Here is a 19,060-nt window from a genome sequence, read left to right on the forward strand (position 1 = left end):
CACTGAATATGGGGCCAGAGAAACTTAGTGAGGCAGAGGTCAACATAAATGAAGAAAGTGGTTGTAACTAGAAGGATGAAGGCATACCAGAGGAAGTGACACTGGCAAAACCTTCCCATTAAAGGAATGATCTGGAATATTTCATGATGTTGAAAGTGCAAAGGATAGTTTGAAGCTGATCCATACTTTGAAAGCGATATGACAATTCATCAAGCATAGAAATGATTCACTCTGTTTATAATCTTTATGATGAAAAGAAAAAAGCAAGCATTGTTCAAATTATTTTTAAGTTTCTATGCAAAAAGTAAAAAAAGAAAAATACAAAAGAACAACTTCAGTCCCCTATAATTTTTTTTTTTTTTTTTTTTTTTTTTTTTTATGAAGCCTCACTTATCTTGCCTGGGCTAAGACGACAGGCACATGACAATATGCTCTACTTAGTTTTCTACGCTTCTAATGTCTTAAATCACAGTGCATTCTGTAATATTACTTTCATGATTTTCCCATTTTCCTATACCTTTATAACCTAGAGGAAGGGAAGTTTTTATGATCTGACAAAAATGTTTAAAGTCAAGAATAATCATGAATTTTTCCATTGATAATTAGGATCACTCTCTGTGGTTTCTGCCTGTACAGTTTTAAGTACTACCATATCTGTGCAAAGCATGAACTGCCTGTATTCACTACAAGTTCTATGTTTACATCTACTCATATTAATGAAAAAAAGTCTGTTTTGTTTATGATTGTTAGCTACTAAGAAGATTTCTCCCTTGTTAGCTTGGTTGGTGCCAGTCTAGAAACAATGCTCTAGTAAAATAACACTGGTCTCTTCACCAACATTGTTCGTTAGAGTTGTCATGGTATTATTGATTATCAGAATTTTACTGCTAGCTCTTCAGTCTTCACATCACTACATAAATAACAGATATGCATCATGATAAATGAACAATCACATCTTCTAAAGTTCGTAGGTGGTCAGTGAGCATATGTTATTCAAGTGATACGTAAACAGTAGAGTTTGCAGTTGTATTGCAGTTGTTACTATACCCTAAACACTGACCTAACAAAATGTTGTAATACATCACTTCAGCTATATTGTGATGATAGACTTTTGGGAATGTCCGAGGAACCAATAAAAATTTATTAAGTGGAATATTATTATGTGTAATAAATAAATATCTTAACTCAATATTTATTCTGATTTTTTAACTACTTTACAAATAGCCTTTTGGACAATGAAATCTTCACCTGCCCAGCATCCCTTTATATCTCATAGGAAAATTGTATACAGTAAATAACTGATTCTATCCCATGATTAGTGCTTCCAGGAATGACAAAAGCAAGTTCTTTTCTTTCTTCCAAGTAAAATACTTTAGTTCAATATTCTTCCAAAATCAGTAACCCATGAACTAAAATAATGCTTTATTTAAAGTAGTTTGTGTTTTCATATACTTATTTATATTATGCATTGCCAATGTTTTAAAATCTGTTTCACTTACAGGATATATTATGTATTGCCAATGTTATAGGAGACATGCATTCGTTTCAATTACTAAGCATTTATGGTACATCAACAGATGACCAGTCAGTATTATAGATATTTTACAAATCATAAGAAAAAATTCCTGCAGGTGATTTTTTATCTAGTGGAGTATGCAGAACTGTAGACGACAGTTACAGTAGTGTGGTTTTGAGGTGTAGGATTAAATGGCTTACTCCATACCAGTCAAGTGTTAATTTATGCATACAAATCTTCCATTCTACCTTATGGCATTTCAGATGGAAAAGTACATCACAAAGCATACATGCTTCAAGATACAATTTAATAGACAGGTTGTAAATAATGTTTGATCTTAATTATTGTACTAATTATGATAGTGAATGAATAAAGAGAAAATATTCAAAATAAAAGAGTTAAAGAATGTATTTATTAAATTTTTAATTTTGACCTGCCTAAAATTCACTCTAAATAGGTAGAGTTATAAAAACTCACAGATATGTTTAAAAGAGTTTGGTGATGATGACCCTTATGTACTGAAGTGCAGGAAATGATTGATTGATATATAGTAATGTATTGATTTTTAAAATGGCACTCAATACTAATTTGATTCTATAATATTTAAGGAAGTTTCCACTTACCCTTTACAAACAACAAAATATATATAACATGGAACATTATTTCATTCATGGTAATAAAGTTTATTTTATCACCAAGTCAATATAGTGTGAGATTTTAATATATTTAATGAATCTACTCCCATACCTTCAATATCTTCTAGAACTTACTAATATTATAACAGAGTTTCTTTAAAAACATCTGGTTTGTAAAGCAATAAAAAGAATACCTGTATTGATTAAATATACAGACTCCAGAGCCACAGTGAATTGAGTTTAAATTTCAGCTTTCCAAGGTGTTTATTTCTATTACTTTGGCAAATTACTTAATCTTGCTGAAAGTTAATTTTTCTATCCATGATACTGGGAAAATAATACTCTATCATGAACGTAAGGCAAGAATGAAATTAATAATTTATTTTAAAAGTCAGTGAAAACTGTGGTATCTACTCTATATTGTTTATGTCGTGGCTGATGATAACAATCAGACTGCTATTACAAATCTAATGTTCCTAAAAGGATTAGGTTCTCAGGATTTCTATGCCACATAATTTCAGATACTTCCCACTTCCCACCAAAGTAGCAAAAACACAAATAATGGTTTACACCGGAGATTAGCAATACCTTGTAGCTTGACAATTATTCCTTTATTTTCTCGTGTAACATATTGCTAACATTTTATTAAAAATAAGCTATGATTAGATACATTCACCAGACATTTATTAATGAATGTAAACTTGCTTTGCTAAATTTGAAAAATAAGCATTTTATAAATAGTATAAAAATAAGTGCTTTCTTAAACTCATGATCTGATTAATATGCTTTTGAATATCGAAACTCTTAGTTTGATATACTGGAAAGAATTTTCTCATATAAATAATATTACTTGTTTCTTTAAGCATACCAAAATTTACTCTCCAGCTAGAATCCATAAATGATAGAAGTTGGGGGATCTGCTTATCTTTTATGTAGCAAATGACTAATTCCACTCTGTAATTTGAACTTCCAGTAACAAGAAAAGCAAGTTATGCTATTTCTTCCTGGTAAGTTCTTCGGGTCAACATTCTTTTAAAAATCAGTTTTTCCTCAATGAAGAAAATTGCTTCTTTACTATGTACTTTTCTTTAAAATAATCATCTCATATAAGTAATTTTGTTGCCAGAGTTAGTGTTGTTTCTCAGAACTCTCTTTTTCTAGACTCTGTTCGACTGACAGATATTACAACTCTCCCTAACATTAAAAAAGACAGATTTTTTAAAATTTAAACTTACAAAACTGTTAAATTGGTGAGAGAATACTTGTGAAATGTTTATTTAAAAAATGTTGTTATAAATAGAAAATAGATTTTTTCAAACCTGATTTAAATTATCAAATTACTTACATAAATAAATAGGTAATTTACATAAAACGTTTAGTATTGTTGACAATTTGCAACATTTCACATGTTTGTTAAGGGAAAATAAAGTGAGAAATAAAAGTGAATTCCTGTACAGATATGCACACGGTTGTTTATAGCTAAAAGGCAAACAGCAATGACAAATACACAAATCATAGAAGGCTAAGTGAGCTTCACTCCAAATCTACTTTCAAAGAAAAATGTCATTAAAACAAACCAAAACTCCATATATTGAGATTGCAAACTTTAGCTGAAAATCAATAAGCAACCCATATTTGCGTTACTAATACTGCAATTATTTTGAGTACTCATTTTACATAAATGGTACGTTCAAGTTGAGAGGATTAATCAGTGGAATTCTAGTAAATCCAGTGTAGTCAGCCAAACAGTACATAGTGAGTATCTAATTCCATGATTTGCATAAATGCCCTTATAAATCAAATATTTATAATTCATTGTTTAAAAACAAAATAGTATCCTTATAGAAACTTGATTAGGAATACTGAAAGTGTTCCCCCCAGACTTCCTGAAAACCTGCTGTCTCTCAGAAGAGTGAGAACAAATCCACCATCATGCCTTTAAAGATGGGGTACAACTCTAGACTCCTTAATAATTATAGCAGTAGCAATAAAGATGACAACCACTTACGTTTAGTGACTGGTTTCTATATTCTAGGTACATTATATGGGATTTCTCCTGTTAGTCCTGACAGCAGCTCTGTGATGAGGTACTACTATTCTTCATCGTCCAGAGAGAAATCTGAGGCCCAGAATGGTGAAATAACTTGAGCAAGATCATAGAGCTAGGATGCCGGAGAGTAAGGGTCAAGACAAATTCAGCAAAAATAAGATGTGGATTAAGGTAAAAGTACAATAACTCATTTTTCCTCTAAGGCCGGTTTTCATAGCAGTGGTCCCGACGGTACAAAGAAATCACTGTTTTACAGGCTATATTGTTTGCCACATTCCTAGGCCTTTTAGATATTTCTTTCTCTTACCTACTCAGGGAGTGATCAGACCCAGGAAGGGAAAATGCTGACTCACCGTACCACAGAGGAAGTGAAGCTAATTTAAATCACAATACTTTGTCTTTAAATGCTTAGACTTTAAATAGAGTCTCCTTCCAGACAGTAGAAAAGGCCACTCAGGCCACTAAAGAAATCTGATATTCATACATTTACTTATGAAATCGGATAAGATGCATTTGTTTACCTTGTTACACTGTGTTATACCTTAAAGCTAGCTTAAAGTAAAAATAATGGAGAAAAGTAAGTTGAAGAACTTGCTGAAATGGAGACTGAATATTCAGATGAAATGAAAATAAATAGGAATTCTGAAATAATAGGTACACTGTTTCAGTGTTGGCTCCACTCATTTTAACAACTATGCAACAAACACTGAACCTCTCACACAAATAGCTAATCATTAAAAACATACCGATTCCTAAGACAAATATACCTATTGCTGGTACTATGGCCATGGAAGAATTTCTCACAAGTTTGCCAATAAAGAAAATTGTGTGGTAAAATAAACAACTCTAAATGTCAGTTTTTGTGAGATTCCACGTAAAATTGGGATAAAAAATTCCATCTCATAGATTTATTAAAGGATTCAAGATGGTGAGGCATGAAAAGCACTGAGCACAAGGCTTGGAGCATACTACAAGCCCAAGAAATAGGAGCCCCAGGAACAGAAATCAAAATAAAACAGCTCCAGCATTCTTCACTGTTTTTTATATTATATTGTTATTTAAACTGATGGTGACATTCAGCAAAAGTGATTCTATGCATCCGTTATGATTGAATTCAGGCACATGAAAAACGTGATTTAACATTTTTCAATCCAAATGTTGACTGCAATAAGGCAAGATATCCATAAACATAGTCCTTTTTATAACTCTTTCACAATGAATCAATATGCTATAATCATTGCCAAAATCTTATTTCATAATATCCATTATATATGCTAAGATGTCACTTCTCTGACTCTAATTTTATCAAAATTTTTATCTAAAAAGTCAGTATTTAAAAAAATAAGAGCACTAGCCATTACTTTTTCTTGTAAATTATGTTCTTTTTTGTTGTTGTTGTTTGTTTGCTTATTTGTTTACTGTGCCTAGTCAAGCACAATATGGCTCAATTGACCTCTTAAGTATTACTCTTCTGAACCGGTTAGACTTTTCTTAAAATTCTGTGTGAGAGTCATGATGCTGTCTGCCATAGGAGGTGAATTAGAATAGATTTGAATCTGCCTTAAATAAAGCATTTGTATTTTTCTGTGTGTGATATTTACTCTCAATTCTCACCATCAAAGCTACTCACAGATTATGTGCTTCTGTTCCAAAAAAGAAAAATCTAAATAAAAAGAAACAAAAATAAATGTTGCTTATTACTACTTATCATGCAGTTAGCCACCAGTTGTGTATAACTTGAAATACATTTTCTCACTTATTGGACATATTTTTGATATCAGTGGTGAGCTTTTATGACCATATCGGAGTTGTCTGCCGTGTGTATGTGTATTTCTCTTTTAAGGGATTGCAAATATGTTTGGATCTGCGTAGTAATCTCAGATGTCCACAGTAAATACAGAGGTGACATAGAGTTACAAAGCTTCTCAAACCATTGTATTATTAGGATAATTACCCTGTGCACAGTGCCTGACTCACTGGGGTTCTGAAGAGGTAGTTAATAAATTCATGTAAGAAAGATGAAAGAAAAGAAAGGAAAGAAAGAAGGAAGGGAGGGAGGGAGGAAACATTTTAGTACCTACCATAGCATTTGCAAAGCATAAGGGGCATAAATAATATGCTTGTTTATTTCCCCCAAAGAGATTAGATGAGCTTGTAAATATATATGAAAGAATAAATAGTAAAACAAGATAGTAGAAGTCAATCATCAAGGGCTCTGAATGCTATTGGACTTCAGAGAAAAGAGCCAGAATGCTAAATATTTCATATATATTTGTTATTTCATTATGGAGTCCAGTGACTCAAGCACTATCATATTCTTCACTAACATGGGTTTTAAGAATTGTCTGGTTATCTACGCTTCCAATATTTGTTACAGAATTTCAATCACTTAACTAAATATATACTACTTGGTTTTGATTAGCAAATCAGAAAGTATACCAAAGACTACAGTTAAATCAAGGTGAAGCTGTCTCTATGATTGAAAATACAGATTTCACTGGAAAGAAGCAGCTGTGTTCCTGAGGTTAGAGCACTTTGTTGCAGAAAGAATATCAATGGAGTGTTTATGAAATAACAAGGGAACATCACATCGCAAAGAGCAATGAAAGCCTCTTTTAAAAAAATCTGTATAATAAACATGTCTAGATGGTTATGGTTCTGGCAGATCACTACAGAGGAAATATTAGAAAAAAATCTCTACTCATACATTTTTCATGAAATATTCTGTATTATACATCACAGCTGCAAATCTGCCATCTGAAGTTTGCAGCTTCTTAATGACACCAGCGATTTAGGGCACAGGGTGGAGTTAGGCTGACATGTGACTGATGAGGTGGAAGTGTGAGTCTGAGGGCCATTGAACACAGAGAATTTCCCAATGTATCATAATTACAGAAACACCTGTGCTGAGGAATTTGTGCTGAATCAGAGAAAAGACATGAAACTTAATGGTCTGCAAGATCCTTTATCTCAGACCCATGGCTGTTGGGGGTAAAGGATACAGCTGCATTTAAAAGTGATTTTAAGGCATTGGTTTTTATCCTTCTAGTAGATGATATTTCCATCATCTGAAAATGTTTGTCTCATTTGAGAACGGGATATTGGACATCGAAACACTGTTGAAATGTACTAGGAACATTTTCTGGAAAATGAGGCAGAAATGTAAGGTCACAAACTGCTGAGCTTGATGAAGCACTCAAAACTGGATTATTCCGAGTTTTGTTATCTTTACAAACTCCATTATTGATTGAAAAAAATTAAGTACACATACATATTTTAAGCTAAGTAACACAGCATTTAACAGTGGGGTCACTCTTCAAGTTAGAATTCTTTCCCCAATGTGCTCTCAACCATCTGTTAACTCTCTGGGCAGGGGTAGGGGGAGAAGTTATAACAGTGGTATGCCTTTTACAAAAGAGTTCAGAAAAGATTAATTTAGATGTAGACTGTGATTTGAGAAGGGTAAGAAAGGAAGATGAAATAACAAAATATGATCATTAGGAGGGAAATGAAATTTACTATTTATAAGAAACAATATTTTTTAATCAGTGAAAATAAAGCAAGTTCAGTGGATAATAGTAAATATAAAATAATTCAATATATTAGAACAAGGTATTTTTAGTTATATTATTTATTTCTCTCTAAATATTTAATCTGTGATAAAAGACGATATTCTTTGGATAAATACTACATCTGAAGTTATTTATAAAAATGTTTCAGCAAATAATACATATTTTGGGCAATGTCTTTCTTTACATGAGTTATTTGACAGTCAGTCCTTTTTTAGAATATTCTAGTGTAAGAATAATGAATTCAAAATTTAAATACAGTATATCATTTATTATATTATTATAGAAGTAGCATGTTTACCAGTTAAAAATCAAAATGATAGAAAAAGAAAATGTGAAAAGCAACAAAAGTTGCCCATTATATCATCAGTCAGATATATCTGCAATTAACTGGTATAAATCCTTTCAGAAAATGTATCATATAATATTCTCAAAAGAGATACAAAATTTAAACAACAGTCTGCTTTGTATATAAATTTAAGATCAAATATTGATTACTCTTTTTTATTTTTTAGACTGAGTTTCGCTCTTGTTGCCCAGGCTGGAGTGCAATGGTGCAATTTTGGCTCACTGCAACCTCCACCTCCCAGGTTCAAGCGATTCTCCTGCCTCAGTCTCCCGAGTAGCTGGGATTACAGGCATGCGCCACAATGCCCAGCTAATTTTGTATTTTTAGTAGAGACAGGGTTTCTCCGTGTTGGTCAAGCTGGTCTCCAACTCCCGACCTCAGGTGATTCACCCGCCTCGGCCTCCCAAAGTGCTGGGATTACAGGCATGAGCCACCTTGCCTGGCCGATGACTCTTTTTCATCTTATGTATTTATTGAATAACATGTGTCACAGAGAGTATTTGAATAAATAAGAGATATAAATTTATTCTTAAATTTAAATATGAATAATATTAATTACATTTACCTGTGAACAATTAAATAGGAAGATTGCATTTAAATGAGTAGGTTATCTGATCAGTAGAGAGGTGAAGTAATACTGCAAATAAAATACAGTAGCCTAAATACTATTTGTAGGAGAACTAAAGAAGGTAATAAGAGGACAGAACTTTGGTACATGCCCTCGTCTGATCACCATAGATCCATGAGAAGCAGTTCTGTGTGCCTGTTCAGGCCTTGCATATTGGAACCTGATTTCTTAGGTTCACATTCTAGCTCTGGCATTATCTAGCTGAGAGAATTTGGATGGGGAATATGTTATCAATTTTAAGTAAATTGGAACTTTAGAGACATTTTTTTTTTTCCAAGACAGGTTCTCACTCTCTTGCTCAGGCTAGAGTGTGCAGTGGCAGGATCGTGGCTCACTACAGCCTCAGCTTCCCTGGCTCAGTGGAACTTCCCACTCAGCCTTCTGAGTACCTAGGACTACAGGTGGGCACCACCATACCCAGCTAAATTTTTGCATTTTTTATAAGCAACAGGATTCCATCATGCTGCCCAGGTTGGTTTCAAAATCCTGGGCTGAAGCGATCCACTTGCCTCGGCCTCCCAAAATACTGAGATTACAAGCGTTAGACACTGCACCTGGCCTAGAGAATGCATTGACCTCTCTAAACCTCGGTTTTTCTATCTGTAAAATGAAGTCATTGAGGATAAAGCAAGTTATTGATTGCAAAGGAGTTAAAACATTTGCAGACACATAGTAAGCATTATGCAAACATTATTTCAAAATCAATGGTTTATGTTATAGTTTATTTTAGAGATGAGAAATTTGAAGCTTAGAGAACTTGATATTTTCTGTCACTTACCACAGAGGACTATGAAATAAAGTCAATTTTTCTGTCAAATATTATTTTCTTTCCTCAAGTTTAAAATAATATATATATTCTGTATTTCTCAAGTAACTAAGTTATTAATTACCTTACTTGTATCTCTAGCATCACAATAGGAAAGACACCTAAATAAATCACAGAATGTGAATTTCCATGAAATCGATATGCATTTTTAAATTCTATATTTTTCGCAAATAATCTACCACTTTGCCCTAATCCTGACCTGGTTGGATTTTGCCATTTTTTAAAATTTGATATTTGTTCATTAGGGATTATTTGGGCATTGCTTTTTAATTTCCAAACCTTTGCATTAACATCTGCTTTATCTTGATTGCTAAGTGTTTTGTGATCCCTTAAGTTTTGCACCAGAAGACAGCACTTCACTTATCTCACCCTAGTTCCAGCCACTGGAAATGGTGAACATAAAGCTGGAAGGACAAACGGGTTGACTTAAATGGGCCATATTAACTGCATGAAAATGTCCAGGTTTTATCTTAAAAGCAATATAACGAATAAGAGGTAAATTTAATAAGCTTCAGTGTTCAAGTGAACCAAGGGGCTAGAGGAGAGCCAAACGTGTTGCCAATGTTTCTGTTGGGTCAATTGGATGGAGAATAGTACCATTCTCTAAGAGAGGGAAAACAAGAGGAAGGGTAAGTTAAGAGGGGAAGGCTCGATTATGAGTTAGATGTTAGACTTTGAGGTGTCTTTGGGAAATTCAAATAGAGATGTACAGAAAGCAGTTGGAAAGCCCAAATATATTTCAGGTTCAAATGTGAACTCTTTAAGTTGGCATCATTTTTATGTAGAAAAAAATCACCCAGCAAAGTAAAAACAGACAAACAAAAAAAGACAAGATAGATAAAGGCCTCAGCAAAATACTGAGAAAAATAGTAGATGGATCTGAAAGTTTGTCAGAAAGAAATCTGAACAGATAAAGAAGAAGAATGGTGTTTAGGCCAAGTTGGCAACTTCATTATATCAAATTCCTTAAAAGGAGAGTCAAATAGTTTTGGATTTTCATCTGAGCTCTGCAACCGACAGTCTGTGTTACCCTTATTAGATGATTTCCTTTGTGTAAGGTTTGGTCTCCTCACCTTGAAACTGGAAATAAAAACAGTACATATTTGTGGCATAGCTGCAAGAATTTTATGAAATAGAAGGATGCTTAAAACAATATTTGGCACAAAGTAAGTTCTCAAGTATAAGCCATTAATAATAACAATAATTAGAAGGATCATAGGCTCTGAAGCTAGACTGTTTGGTTTAAAACCCGATTCTGTCGATAGCAGAAGTGCTACCTTGAATAAATTGCCTCAATTTTGCTCTGTGCCTCAGTTTGCTCATCAATGAAACAAACGTAATGATATCTAACATATACGCTTGTTGCAATGATCAAATGGAGTTAATGCTCGTAATCTACTTACTACAGTGTATGCAATAATAATTGTTTATAAAACAATTTTATAGGCAGAACAATTTTAACTTCAATCACTGAACGTACTTTGAGTTTTTTTATTCTTTACTGTTTTCCTCTTTTAAAATTACATTTTAAACAGATTTTTTGCTTATTTTTTGAAAATATTTCTTTTTAAGGGAAGCTCTACATATGAATAAATTCATTGAAGATATGAAAAGTTAAAACAAGTATAAAACATATAAGCAATGCCTTCAAATGCAAGCCATTTTTGGTAGGATTATATTAACAGGCTTATCCTGAACAATTCACAGTCTTATTTATCCTTAGACAAGTCAGTGCCTGCCTGCCATAGGAGGAATGTCAGGATAACCAGGTGTATAAGGTTACTTAAGAGAGTATTATGGAAACACTGTGCTATTTAGGATCAGGCAAAGAGAAACTCAAATCCTCATTTCTTAAATGCTTGATTTGGTGACATGGGTTAAGTTACTCATTGTCATTGAGCTTCTGTTTTTTGTTGTTGCTGTTGTTGTTGTTTGTTTGTTTTTCATCTATAACAAGTACTAGGAGTGTCTGTCTCTGCAAGTCACATTAATAATGAAATGATATAACAAAATACCTCGCACGTAGTAGGCTTTTCAACAATTGTTAGTTTCTGGTTGTCTGCCAGTTGACAGCTATTCCCCCAGAGAAATAGACCCAGTAATACTTTACTTTAAATTACTGCAGAAAGTAGAAGGAAGACATAGCAAAAATAAAACCAGCTACAAATAGCACAGTTAAATTCCTTAGTGAGAACTACTCACAAACCAAATTTTTATTACATTCAGAAGCCACAGTTTAAAATAAGGCTGGATTCTGTCATACCTAATGATACGGTATAATCATAAAAATGTAATAAATACTTTCTAACACAATAATATTTCTTCTATACAATGAATACCTTCATAAGTTTTATATTTTGCTAACCATTTTTATATATACCAATCAAATGTAATTGAATTTAAATGTTAGGATAATAATCCAGATCATAGAAGTTGAACAAAAGACCATCAGTTATAGCCTGTAGAGGCCAAGGAATATCTCAGATGGATATGGGACCAGACCAGGAGAAACAAACTCAACTCAAAACCGATCCTCATGGAGCAGGGGAATATCCTACTTGGGGATACAGTGTCATCCCAGATAAGAGACTTTGAAGTCAGAATTAGTTTTTTTTAGCACCAAGCACATTGTGAATTCTCAAAACTGCTAAAGAAGCTTGGAATATTTTTGACCTAACTAATGTGTGTAATCAAATAAAACACCTGTTCACAAATGTGTCAATCTTGCCTTTGCTACTAAGAATTATTTATGAGTGCCTTTGTGAATCTTGATTATACTTTAATTAAACATGGACACTTCCTTTCAAATTTTACAGTAGTGTTGAAATCTTCTGAAAATACAGAACATTAACCATGGCACTTTTATTGTAATATGAGGTTAGGAATGAACTGTTTTTCTTGATCTAGTTTTGCCAAATAATACATGAAATTATATGAAAAAACATTTTTTTAAATGAAAGTTATGTAAAAATAAATGTGCAATATAATTATGAATATTTGGAAAATGGTAGTAAAGTTTCCTATTGCTATGGTACCTAGTTTTGCTAAACTTTTAAGTATTATATCCCTACATTTAATAATGTATTGACTAAATAAATTCAATATAAATTGAATATTATATTGCAAATATAAATTAAAGCACTAGAATTTTAAATTGGTAAGCACAGGGTTTGGTTTACAGAGAACAACCAAAAATGTATTGACTATTTGAATTCAGCATTTCCTTTAAACAATTTAACGTATGTGTTCTTTAAAAAAGTGAGCTAAATTTTAAAAATAGCATCTGGACCTATTACCAGCATTAAGAAAATATTTCCTTAGACAAATGTCTTATTATCCAACAAAAACCCAATTTTTATACCATTAGATTACAATCTAAAAAATTAACACTCTAACTGACTAAAATAGTTAATCATGCTTTAAGAAATCTTTGGGCACTGGGAATCTGTGGCTCACTGATTAAGTGGCTAAGACTAATGATTCTAGAAAGCGAACCTTGGTGAATTTAAGAAAAGAACAATGTAAAAAATGAAAATAAAATTATAAGAGATTATTCGAGTATCATTTTTCCTTTAAATGAATGAACCAGAATGAATTCTGGTTTTATCCTTAAATAAATGAATAGCACCCAACAGTAAATAGATTGTATATAAGCATTTCCAAATTTCCAACCCTCTAGAACTCACATTAATATCAGAAAATATTTTTCCAGTCTCAGGACTACATTACCTAGCTAAGCAAACTAAAAAAATAAATAAGTAAATTTTTTTAAATCTCAGGGCATTGAGGAGATACTACAAGTGATGATGGAGGTGATCTAGTACATTACTTATATTTTATCTTAAAGGTAGGAACCCTATTTAAAAAGTAACAAGATTGAGAATTAAACAATTTGGTGGTTGCCAAGGGAGCCCTGTTGCTTATTTTAGTTTTTTTTTTTTTTTTTTTAAATTATCTGACTCTTATAACTAGAAGATTTTGGTCACACTTATTGTAAAATCAAATCCACATTTCCGTCATCATACCTGTATTAGTTTTTAGATAAAATTGATATTTAGGGAAAAGTGGAAAGCTAATATTTGTCAGTTGGATAGTAACACTCTTGAACTTGCTTTGGAAATTTACCACTAAATTATTAATTTATTGTGATACGTTGAGTATTAATCTCACCAGGATGTGTAGAAAGTCGCACTACCTGAGGGAAAAGTTTTCACCACCACACTACGCTTTAAAGTTATATTTTTAAACTTAAGATATTAGCTTTCAGAAATACAAAACATGATAATATTTTTGATCACCAATTTGTGACTTCAGGATCATTTGTTTTTAAAGCATGGGGCACACAAGTGAGGCAATGGCAGACAAATATTATTTTTGTTTCACAGACTTCTATATAACTAGATAGGATTCCGGCTCTGGTGTCTTAATTGGGCTGATGGAGTTACTCTCTCCATTGAAAAGATCTAGATATTTATCTTTTAGATAGATACAGTTAAACTTTTTTTAGGCTGGGCACGGTGGCTCACACCTGTAATCTCAACACTTTGGGAGGCCGAGGCGGTCAGATCACAAGGTCAGGAGTTCGAGACCAGCCTGACCAACATGGTGAAACCCCACCTCTACTAAAAATACAAAAATTGTCTGGGCATGGTGGCATGTGCCTGTCATCTCAGCTACTCAGGAGGCTGAGTCAGGAGAATCACTTGAACCCTGGGAGGCAGAGGTTGCAATGAGCTGGGATTCCAACACTCCACTCCAGCCAGAGTGACAGAGCGAGACTTTGGCTCAAAAAAAAAAAAAAAATTTAAAAACAGTTTTTGCGATCATTTTAAAATCTACTTCCAATTCTATATAAATCTCAAGAGTCTGTGTCTTTCTTGCTTTTTTTCCATGCATCAAACAAGTTTATATTTTCCAAATAAGAAAATGATGTACCTAAGCTTTATAAATGACATCTCCCATGTCATCAATAAAAATGATGTACATCTTATTGTGGATTTATTTAGCAAACAATTCCCAGAAATCACCTTTATTACAGGGAATAAAACAGATGTGTAACTCCCTCTTTTGGATGTCATATTTACACAAAGAGGCAACAATGTACTCCCAAGCATAATATTAAAAAAGCATTAGTTTGGTGATGTTTCACTCAATAGATATGGTATCTAGTCTAAATATATTTTAAAATCCTTCCTATAAATTTTTTTTGTCAAAAATACAAAAGGATCTTTGCATAGATACATGGAAGAAATTCCCAATTCAGCCTAAATCACATTTAAGAAGTTATAACTAACATCCCCAAACAACAAAATAAGAATAATGATCAAATTTAATCTCTCTGTCTTGTACCTACTTTTTGTAAACTAGTCCAGTGTCTGAAATTAGCCAGGACATAAATACTATATGTCCTGATCAAACAAAGCCTGATATTCCTTTTCTACTTCAATTAAACACAGTATATTTCTTTCTGGAGCTTGAAGAGGGACAAGGCTCAAATTACTGTGAATTCCTCCAGTCCTGTTTCTTCAGAGTGCTACTTTGAAGGTCAATGCCAGTTGTTTGTTCTAATCTGAGTATTAAAAAAAAAAATTGTTTACTTCAACATAGCTAAGAGATGTATCTATGAATGAATGATGTATTATCAAGACTGGAAAGTATTATTAAATTTACTCCAAGGCTGATCTCTTTGATTCCTTGAAGTCTTCTCACCAGTCCAAGTGTAATTCTATAATTCATGTAATTATTTCTAATTTCTTAATGGAAAGATAACGGTGTTTAGTGTGTTCTCAGATGAAACAAATAAATAAATGTAAATATGTGTAATACATATCAGTGGGAGAATATATATGAAATACACGTACACACACACACACACACACACACACACATATATATATGACTATGCTTCTTCTATTGTTCAGCATTTAGCTGCCTTCATTATGCTCCTATTACATGTGTCCCATCATGTAAAACATAAGAATTTGCAACTGGCAAAGACATGGAAGAAGGAAGTTAATAGCAGCATGCTATAAAATAAAAGTCATCAAAAATAATAGAGAATAAAGTATGAAAAAAATATGATTTATTTAAAGAGAAAGTGGCAGTATCCTTTCATTTTATGCATTTCATGAAAAGATAAAACTAATATATGTAGTTTAGGAGGAGAATATTTACTTCTAGTTATTATGTAGCAGATCTAAATAGACTAGATACACACATGTGTGTGTATTAAAAATGGTATTGACATGGACAGGAGACAGGGAAATATTGGGTAGAAGAGGGCTATCCCTGGCAAGGGCCACACCCTCAAACCTGGACCTGTGACCTAAAGTGAAAACATGCATTCCTGTTTTCCTGCCCAAATGTTGCCTTTTTCAAAATCACCCTCACCTGCCCCACCCCCCATCCTGTACCCAAAAAAACCCCAGGCTCCACTGGAAGAGTGGCAGAGTGGCACAGCAGCAGAGAAGGAGAGAAGAACAGCCAGAAGTCAAAGAGAATCACCTTTACTACAGAGAAATGGCTTGATGGTGGGACCTCAGGAAGAGTTTGGCCAGGGAGAGCTGAACTCCAAGGGAAGACCACTTTTCCACTCCATCCCATTTCCAGCTCCCCACCCCACTGAGAGCCACTTCCACCACTCAATAAAATCCTCCACATCCACCACCCTTCAATTCATGCACGTAACCTGATTCTTCCTGGACACCAGACAAGGACCCAGGTGCAGGTGCAAGAAATTGTCACACTGACCCTCCACAGAGCTGTTTAGCACTTAAGCCAACTATGGATGGCAAAGCTAAAAGAACACAGTGTAACACATGCCCTCTGAGACTCTGAGGGTCATGGGAAACCCCTAGATGCTTCCATGGGCCCACACAGAGTTCTGCTTCTGCTGGTTGCGCAGAAGCTCTTGTCCCGGCCTCTACACCCAATCACCTGAGTGGTCCCCTTCCCACAGGGGTTGAGAGCTGCAAGCTGAGTAAATGAGACAAACCCCTTCACGAGTCCCACAAAAGGGTCAAGGGAACTATCCCATTTCAGTATTTTACTTTTAAAATAAATTCAACTTCTTGTTACATTATTACAGTAACTTAGCACTTATTTGCTAAGCGCATTACAACGTTAGTGTGTTAAGAATAAAAACTAATTGGCCGGGCGCAGTGGCTCACACCTGTAATCCCAGCACTTTGGGAGGCCAAGGGCAGATCACCTGAGGTCAGGAGTTTGAGACCAGCCTGGCCAACATGGCGAAACCTCTTCTGTACTAAAAACACAAAACTTAGCCAGGCACAGTGGCAGGTGCCTGTAATCCCAGCTACTTGGGAGGCTAAGGCAGGAGAATCACTTGAACCCAGGAGGCGGAGGTTTCAGTGAGCTGAGATCCCACCATTGCTCTTCAGCCTGGGCAACAGAGTGAGACTTCATCTCAAAAAAAAAAAAAAAAAAAAAAGAAAACTAATTGTGGGTTTTACCCTCTCAAATGGTTCCAAAGCTGCACAGATTATAAACCTATAGATTTGAACTGCATAGATTATCTATGCAGCTGATATATAAAAATCAATCATGTCCTCTAGTAGAATAGTAGAACAGACATTTCCTTTTATGGAGGAATTTCTATTGTATTATTTTAAAAATAATTCAAGTATGATTAATTTTAATTCATAAATATGGAACAATCACTTAAATAGTCAACAGGGAATTTCTGGTCCTCAGCTTGATTATTTTCACAATTATGTAAACAAAACATTAAGGGCAGTGGGAAGCAGGAATAAAGTGGGGATGGTTAATGGGTACAAAAAACAGTACGAAGGAATTAGATCTAGTGTTCTGTAGCACAAACATAATTTATTGTAGATTTCAAAATAACTAAAACAGTGGAGTTGGAATGTTCCTAACACAAGGAAATTATAAATGCTTGAGGTGATGAATGCCCTCAGTTATCTCAATTTGATCATTACAAAATGTTATCTCATTTTCCACCAACTCAAGCTTCCTCGGTGTGCTCCCTCCACTTCTGTACATCCTTTCCTGTATCCAAATGATTTACACAGACTTCCCCCCATGCTCTCACTGTTTCCTGGAAATAACTTTATTATTAAATAGATCTCACCATTGTCATCCTTTATTTGTGTTCCTCCACACTTTGAGATGACTTATGGTCATTATCATATCCTCTGGTGTCCAGCACACTCTGACACACAGCTAGTAAGCCACCAATAAATAAATGGTTGCAGCTTTTTAAAAATCAGTGAAATACAGACAGAAATACAGCAAGAGCTTCAGAGGGGGCAGCCACCTGACATAACACTGGGTGAGTTTCCTGCAATGAGTGGATGATATTAAGCAGTAGTAAATCAATAACTGCATGAAAACAACCAGCCTTCAATAGGCTCTTCTGTAATAATATTGTCTACCAGGTGTGTACACAGATTTTGTGACTGCTGAAGCTTATATAATGGGGGAGTGGACTCTTTAAGAATAATCATCCACAATTATGAATAGGAGAACCCCAAGGCCTTCCCAGGAAGGGTTCCTGCAAGGGTCCCTAAAGCCTAAGCTTTGTAATTTCATATAATCTGCTCCAGGTATGGGTCAGGTTTCCAAAGAGGGTGGGTGTTTTGCTATAGTTGTACTAGAAACAGTTTACTTCCAGTGGAATGTATGATCCTAACTGGAGAGATTTGAAGGCAAATATGAATAAGCAAGACAAACAGAAAGGAAATAATCTGAAGAAAGCTTCAATTCTTAAATATAGTAGTGAATGGAAAGAAAAGGATCTGAAAGGAAGCTTAATGTAGCTTGAGAAAAAAATTTCCTACTCATTATCTGTGTAACCTGAGGCAATTTAATTAACCTCTCCCGGCCTTTATTAACACAATTACGATGTCAAATAACACATAGCATTTTCTGTGCCAAGTACTATTCTAATCACATTCTAACATACAGTAATACATGTAACTTCCACAGAATAATTACACTATTTTACCCCCATTTTACAACCGAAGAAACTGAGGCATGTGGACTTAAGTCATTTGCTGATATGTACACCCAGTAAGTGTCAGAATCCAGATTCAAACCCAGGTTTCTTCTCCAGAGCCCGCTTCCCCACACACACAACCACCTTCATCCGTAAAAGCGGGGGAGAGCTAAGATGAGTTACAGTCATGGGCAATGTTAACTTTGTGCATTCTAGTTTCTCCCTCAGGTGTGGATCCCTAGGAACAGAGTCAGAAACAATGATTCAGGAGCACATGGTTTATTAAGTGCACTTTCTTCAGGGAAAATCTGTGAGACGGTGAGGAAGGTCAGCTGGATGAAGGGATAGAGCAAAGGTGCGGGCTCAGGTCCCAGGCTAAGTGTAGCCTTCCCCTGAACCATAGGCAGCTCTGGACCACAGATTATCCTCACAGAATTAACTGCCCCTCCCAACCCACCTCTGCGCCTCTGGGCAAGGGAGAAAGGCTTGCTTTCCTGTATTTTTTTTTTT

The 19,060-nt window shown here is 34.3% G+C and overlaps 3 annotated features.

Moving 5' to 3' along the window:
• Nucleotides 3,759–4,958: an enhancer, noted in NCBI's record as "MED14-independent group 3 enhancer chr4:180385948-180387147 (GRCh37/hg19 assembly coordinates)". NCBI's record gives its function as "activates an origin of replication core promoter dependent on BRD2, BRD4, P300/CBP and CDK7 cofactors, and independent of MED14, by STARR-seq in HCT116 cells {active_cell/tissue: HCT116}" and the evidence as "EXISTENCE:reporter gene assay evidence [ECO:0000049][PMID:35650434]".
• Nucleotides 3,759–5,014: a biological region, named in NCBI's record as "MED14-independent group 3 enhancer GRCh37_chr4:180385948-180387147".
• Nucleotides 4,426–5,014: an enhancer, noted in NCBI's record as "OCT4-NANOG-H3K27ac hESC enhancer chr4:180386615-180387203 (GRCh37/hg19 assembly coordinates)". NCBI's record gives its function as "activates a minimal SCP1, AML or CMV promoter by ChIP-STARR-seq in primed H9 embryonic stem cells {active_cell/tissue: H9 hESC(primed)}" and the evidence as "EXISTENCE:reporter gene assay evidence [ECO:0000049][PMID:30033119]".

The sequence above is a fragment of the Homo sapiens genome, chromosome 4, assembly GCF_000001405.40.
Source record: "Homo sapiens chromosome 4, GRCh38.p14 Primary Assembly".
Classification (NCBI taxonomy): Eukaryota; Metazoa; Chordata; class Mammalia; order Primates; family Hominidae; genus Homo; species Homo sapiens.